This window comes from Homo sapiens, chromosome 13 (assembly GCF_000001405.40).
Source record: "Homo sapiens chromosome 13, GRCh38.p14 Primary Assembly".
Taxonomy (NCBI): Eukaryota; Metazoa; Chordata; class Mammalia; order Primates; family Hominidae; genus Homo; species Homo sapiens.
The window spans coordinates 96,847,846-96,854,344 of NC_000013.11; the positions used below are offsets into that span (position 1 = coordinate 96,847,846).

The 6,499-nt window shown below is 46.1% G+C and overlaps 2 annotated features.

Annotated features, from left to right (window-relative positions):
* Positions 470–764: an enhancer, noted in NCBI's record as "tiled region #11714; HepG2 Activating DNase matched - State 22:ReprW". NCBI's record gives its function as "activates a minimal TATA promoter and a strong SV40 promoter by Sharpr-MPRA in HepG2 cells {active_cell/tissue: HepG2}" and the evidence as "EXISTENCE:reporter gene assay evidence [ECO:0000049][PMID:27701403]".
* Positions 470–764: a silencer, noted in NCBI's record as "tiled region #11714; K562 Repressive non-DNase unmatched - State 24:Quies". NCBI's record gives its function as "represses a minimal TATA promoter and a strong SV40 promoter by Sharpr-MPRA in K562 cells {active_cell/tissue: K562}" and the evidence as "EXISTENCE:reporter gene assay evidence [ECO:0000049][PMID:27701403]".

The following is a 6,499-nucleotide window of genomic DNA, read 5'->3' on the forward strand; positions in this document are numbered from 1 at the left end:
ATAGACAAGAAGAATCAGAGTCCTGAACACTCTCATTGGCCTTTCATGATCACATCTTCCCGTAAACAATCAGAAACAGGTAACAGTGGCAGATTAACTCCTTGCTGGCAAAAAGAAATCCATTCTAGACTGGGGATCAGCCCAGCTCTCACTTCAGCTCTGCCATCAACTCCTAGAGTGCCTCATCACAAAACACCAACATATTTTCAGGATCAAAAACAGGTATTCCAGCAGAAGCCCTGGCCTGCTGCCCATTCCACTCTTTCCCACCCCTCACTCCATCTCGTGCTGTAAGGGGGATGATCTTAAGTCTGTGGACACCTCAGGCCAGAGGTGCAAGCTGTGGCCAACCCTCCCATCAAACACTTACCCATTGGATGGACTCCCCAGCCCAGGCCAGGATGTGTGGTAGCGTTCCTCACACAGGGGCACCAGCTGCAGGGGTCTGACCCCCAGACCCTGACCCAGCGACGGATGAATGAAGTACACTGACACACAGATATTCTGCTTTGCCAGTCCAGCTGAGTGTCCAAGCCACTTACAGACTCCAGCAGAGTCCTGTAAACAGCTGTGACTGTGGCCCTGACCAGCTAGTGAGACTCGCGTTTATTGGTAAAGATTAATCGATAAAGGCTTGAGTCAACACCACTAGAGGGTAATTGACATTGTGGACTTCCTGAGTAGAAAGCACTTAAGCACCCACGGTACATCAAAGATTAGTCTTAAGACCACATAAGTAAACAAGCTAGCTAGATAACTTCCCCATATTCCTTTGTTATTACTCTAATTTATTTAGCTAGAGATCAGGTTGCCTTCAACCATATATATTATCAAAGTTATGCAAACTCTCAGGCCTTCCAAGAGGGTTTGTGGCTATCTTAACTAATATTTTTCCTACCAGCCTGACTGAACCCCAACAAGGATGGATCTTGGGAAGAGGTTTGCAGGTCCTGTAGGCTGTGAGGGGTTGTTTGGGGCTGATAATTTTGGGGTCCTCAGTACCTGGAACATGGAATAGAATGGGGGAGGGCCACAAGCTTCAGGGGACACATCTATCCTGGCCCCACATTTCTTTTCCCCACAGGGAGGTGCACGGCTGAAGGAAGACCGTGGGGGCTGTGGTTTCTGGGGTCCCAGGGCTGGTGTTCATGCTCAGCCCCTCTGGGCCTCAATGCTGGTAGGAAGTGACAGGATGGCTGGCCCAGATGTCGCAGGCAAGCACTAGTCAGAGACTGCTTGAGAGGTGGAAGAGGGAGTTGATTGTCTAGTTGTGATAATTTCCTCGGCCAATCATAGGACGTACCTAAAGTTCTGTCAAAAGAGATTAACTCCTTTGGGCATTCAAATGCAGAGACTCCCTAAGAATCACATTAAAATATGAATGTCCACAACCCCTGTTCTCTTCTTCTCTGTATTTCCAGGCTCTGGAAATGTAATCTATAAATAAATATTAGATGAATGTAATTGAATGAAAATTCCCGAATGAGGTCATGTCTTAAGGTCTTCTCAGGTAACATCTGAACAGATACTCTTTTCCCATGACGGTTGGCTAGGAGGGAAGGAGGCACTGGAACGGGGAGGCAAGCCTGTGTGAACTGTCACAGAGTAGGCTGCTGCTTCAGATTTTGTTGCACACCTACCCTAGAAATAAATCAGCCTTTCCTAATCCTCTGCATAGTGGGCAGGGGGCTTAGGCAAAGCGGGAGGGGACAGCCCTTAGGGTGACACTTCGCCTGTATAATCACATGGGCCGTCTGTCAGAAGCATGATTCCCAGAGAGGTCAACATGTTCCTTTCGGGCCTTTCAGATACTTTGTAGGCAAGTCAGTGCCCAACATAAGCCATTGGTTATTTTCAGGGATGTGGAAACATTGACTTGCTCTGGTTTCAGATCTAACCATCCTATTTCACAGTACATTTCATGCAGAACCTGCCTCAAATTTTCCTGGCAATAGGGGGAATATGAAGTCTAATTAAATAAGTAAATATCTGATGTATATTTGTATTGGACAGGCTCCACAAACTGGAAGAAGAGGCTTTGCATTAATACCTTTTGGGTTTGTGAACAAGTTTGTTTTCTAGAATGAAGTTGCAGAGTGTACTGCAAATATAAATGGAGAAGTCAGTTCCTTTATTTGAGGCCCCTGACCATCTTCCATTGTCACCATGGAGATGCCATATCTGCTGCTCCTAGGGGAAAACATGGCCCTTTGTCATTATCAAGTTATTTGATCCTCTCTTCTTTTCAGCAGACACACAAGCATACACATATAGGACATTTTAATGCCTTTTTATTGAAGACCATAAGCCTTTGCGTGTAGCTTTGAACCATCCTGTCACCTGGAACATTGGTTTACAGAGGTGGGAACACAGCTCATATAGCTTCTCCTTTTGCTAATATTTTAACCTGTGGTCCAAGATCTAAACATATGGTATTGATGGTCAAGCTCAACATCACCTTCCAAATAGTCTCCTCCAAAGCAAACACTATTGTGAATATCCTTCCTGTGTCTCTGCTGCCATCACAGGGCAAGAAATCAAGGATGCAGATTTCCGTCTTTATCCACCTCCGTCTTCATCTACAATCTCTTCCCAGGCTGACTAGATCACCACCAGACTCCACTCATGTCTACAGCACCGAGTAGTTGAGACAAAGTACAATGGGGTTGATGGTAGACTGTGTGACTGTTCACTGAAGTCTCTGTGCCTCCCTCGGGGAGGTTTATAGTTTACCCTTCCCTGCCCCATCAGACTCAGGCAGGGTCAATGAAATGTGACTGGAGAGAAATGTTGTCACTTCTAGGCTGATGTTTTAAGAGCAAGCACGTGCTTGAGCATTCTTGACTTTGCTCTGCCCAGCAGCCAGCGATGCTCAGAGGAGTGGCTGCTCCACCAGCCTGGCTCTCCAAGTGCAGATGATTACAGGGGTGACTTAGTGAGGAGAGCCCCAGCTGATCTGCAGTAGACAGACAGCGTGAGGGAGAAATACACCTTTGTTGCTTTAAGCCGCTGAGATTTCCACAGCCTTGTTTGAATGATACAGAGTCAAGCGTTAGTTATTTTCAGAATGGAAAAGTTCGTTCCAACTTTGGCTCAGAATACCTGGCTTCTAGTTCTGCCTCTTCCTAGAAGGGAGATATTAGCCAAGGTTTTTAAACTTTGTGAGTCTCTGCCCAGCCTATCAATCTCACAGGGTCATTGAACAAAATGAGATAACAAGATGCTTCTGCTTTACAAATATACTAGCGAGAGTATTAGCACTAGCGAGAGTTTCTGAAAACCAGAAAGAGCAAGAATTCGGGTTCTTTCCCTCCTGAGTCCTCCAAGGGCTTCCTTTCCCTCCATTGTTCTAGGCAGTGAAGGGGAGTGCTGTCCAACTTAGATGTGACAAATGGGGACCTGTCGAGGCTTGATGATAGGATGGTGACAAAGAAAGAGAAAGAATGGCTTCTGTCCTCAGGAGGCTGGCCCCTATAAGAAATAGCACAAAAATCCAAGAAAGTTGTGCAGGACACTTTCAATGGACACGTTTTCAATGGTGGGGGCAAAGCAGAGATGACTGAATGCTGACTCACAACCTGCGGCAGCCCCCAGGGAAACCAACCTATTCTCTTTGGTGACCTGGCCAGGAATCTAACCTACTCTCTATCCCCCGTGAAGGGCAGGTTGCATGAGAGATGGCAGAGAGGGATCACACCCATCAGGGCATTTTATTGGGACAGAAGGAGGGGAAAGGTGCCAGTTTTAACCATGTGCTCTCTCTCTATACCTCTCTCTCTCTCTCTCTCTCTCTCTCTCTCACACACACACACACACACACACACACACACACACACACACACACAGCACTTGTTGAGGTCATTGTCATTTTCTCTATGTTTCTCAATGAGAAACCAGAGGCTTAAATGCTGGCCTGTGTTCTTCAAAGCCCGTACTCTCTAGGCAGCCACCCTCCTGCCTTCCTGGGGACTGCTTTGAGTGGCACTTCCTATCATATGTGGACCTGGAAGTGCCAATGGCATATTCCATTAAAGCTTGTGCCCCCTCTCCTTCCCTCCTAAATTAGGTGGTTAAATTTTCTCTTCACAGGCTGGGCCTTTGGCAGCTTCCACTGCCTGCAAGGCCTAATTGAGCAGGAGTCTCCCGGGGGCTCCGCGCTGCTATTTCCTGATGAGCAAGGGGAGCAGGGAGCCTGGAATGCGACCACTCTCATTACTGAGGGACCCCCCCGTTTGTCATTCGTCTTATTGCATCATCACTATTTTAATTAACCATCTTTGCCATTGGGCCTGCAAGTAATTGTTCTCTGCATTGTTCAAACCACTAGGATGGATACTTTTCAAGGTGCAGGCTTTCCGCTCCATCACCCATTACTAATTAAAGCAGGAGAAGCTTTTTAAACTCTCTCTGCAGAAGGCCTGCATGTCAGGTAGGATGTGACCCTCATTAGCACGGGGAAGATTACAAGCCCTGCTGTTATTATCCAGGCCCCAGGCCCCTTTCTGAAAGTCACCACTTGCTAAGAGGGAGTGTTGATCTGATGTAGATGTTTGACCTACAGAGCAAAAGTAAAAGATAATTTTTTATTCTAGCAACGGGATGAGATGGCATTTACCTTCCTATGTGCCGGGTAATTTTCTAGTTAAGCAGCAGGTAAAAAGCAAAGAGGAAAAAAAAAAACCCTCCAAAGTATGACTGTGGAAAAGGTTATATTAAAAGGAATCCAGTAAAGAAAGTTATACTGCATCTCAGGATTGTGAAGATAAGGACTCTCCTGGGACTGATTCTAGACAGAAGGCTGTGGTGGTACAAGTTCACTGAAATGCTGGCTGTGGAGATAAACGTGACAGAAAGAAAAGCAAAGTAGATGAAAAACTTTATAAAGTGTGTTGTAGAAATGGCTTCACAAAACTGCTTCCAGATCCAAACAATGAAAGGAAAACCAGGTGTGGCTAAAACAAGCAATTTGAATGGAACTGATGACTGATCATTGTTCCAAATCTCTGAGTTCCAAATCTCTGAAACATAGTATGGCTGAACCATCCTGTGATATTCACCAATGATCTATCTATGAGGCTGTGCAAAAAGCAGCAGGTTCTCCTAATCCTTCTGTGACTGGGGTCTCTTAAATCCATTTGTGGGACTATCCGTGATTTAGTTCAGGACCCCATTTCTTCAAAGCTATTCTTTCTTCTGAGAGACTGACTATAGGAACAGACAAGGGCTAGACCATATATCAAAATAGAACTCTGACCTACAACCTGCAGCAATCTGTCCAGGAAACCAAACCATTCTCTCTGGAAACCAGGCCAGCAATCCAACCTACTGTCCGGAAGTCAATTGTGTGAAAGACCACTGTCTCTACTAACGATCCAGGAAACCGAATGATAGCCCCTATATTGATCAGCTTCAAATGGCCAGGACATGATTAATCTTCTACACTTCCCTGATTTTTGTCCCCACTTCCAACTTAGGACCAACCAAAGAATTCAAATATGCCCCCGATATGGTTTGGCTGTGTCCCCACTCAAATCTCATCTTGGATTGTGGCTCCCACAATTCCCATGTGTTGTGGGAGGGACCCAGTGGGAGGTGGTTGAATCATGGGGGCGGGTCTTTCCCTTGCTATTCTCATGATAGTGAATGGATCTCACAAGATCTGATGGTTTTATAAAGGGGAGTTTCCCTGCACAAGCTCCCTTCTCTTGTCTGCCACCATGTGAGATGTGCCTTTCACCTTCTGCCATGATTGTGAGGCCTCCCCAGCCACGTGGAACTGTGAGTTCATTAAACCTCTTTCTTTTCTAAATTTCCCAGTGTCAGGTATGTCTTTGTCAGCAGCATGAAAATGGGCTAACACACCCTCTAAGCAATCACATGGCTGCCCTACTCCTAGTTGGCCGCCCCTGGCTTCCCCAGGCCAACGGCCTCTGTCTGACCAGGGCACACCTGAAGCCATCCCTTGTGCCTGCTATAAAGCTGTCCCACTCCTCTGCCTGCCTTTGAATCTCTGCCAGACACCAGTGATGGTGGCCAGCTCCTTTGCTACACAGCAAGCTCCAGATAAATTGCCTTTGCTTTTCAAATTTGGTTGGTCATTGTTTCCACACTTTTCTCTCTATCCTCTGCTCCAATGCTTCTTGGAGTCTACTTTTTAAAATTTTCTTCTATGTCAGGGTCACATGTTTAACAACTTCTTATTTTCATCATGTAGGACCCTTTATTTCTTTTCCAGTGAAACCATCCCAAGTTATCCCAGGTCAATTGGTGCATTAGTTATCTATTGTGAAAGAAATTACCCCAAATCTTAGCAGCTTAATATGACACCCATTTTATTATCTTATAGTTTCCATGGGTTAGGAATCTGGCCATGGCTGAGCTGGGTGCCACTGTCCCCAGTCTCTCTCAAGGCTGTAATCAAGGTCTCTCCAGGGACTGTAATTATCTCGAAGCTCACCCGGGGCAGGATCTGCCTCCAAGCTCACTCAGTGGTTGTCAG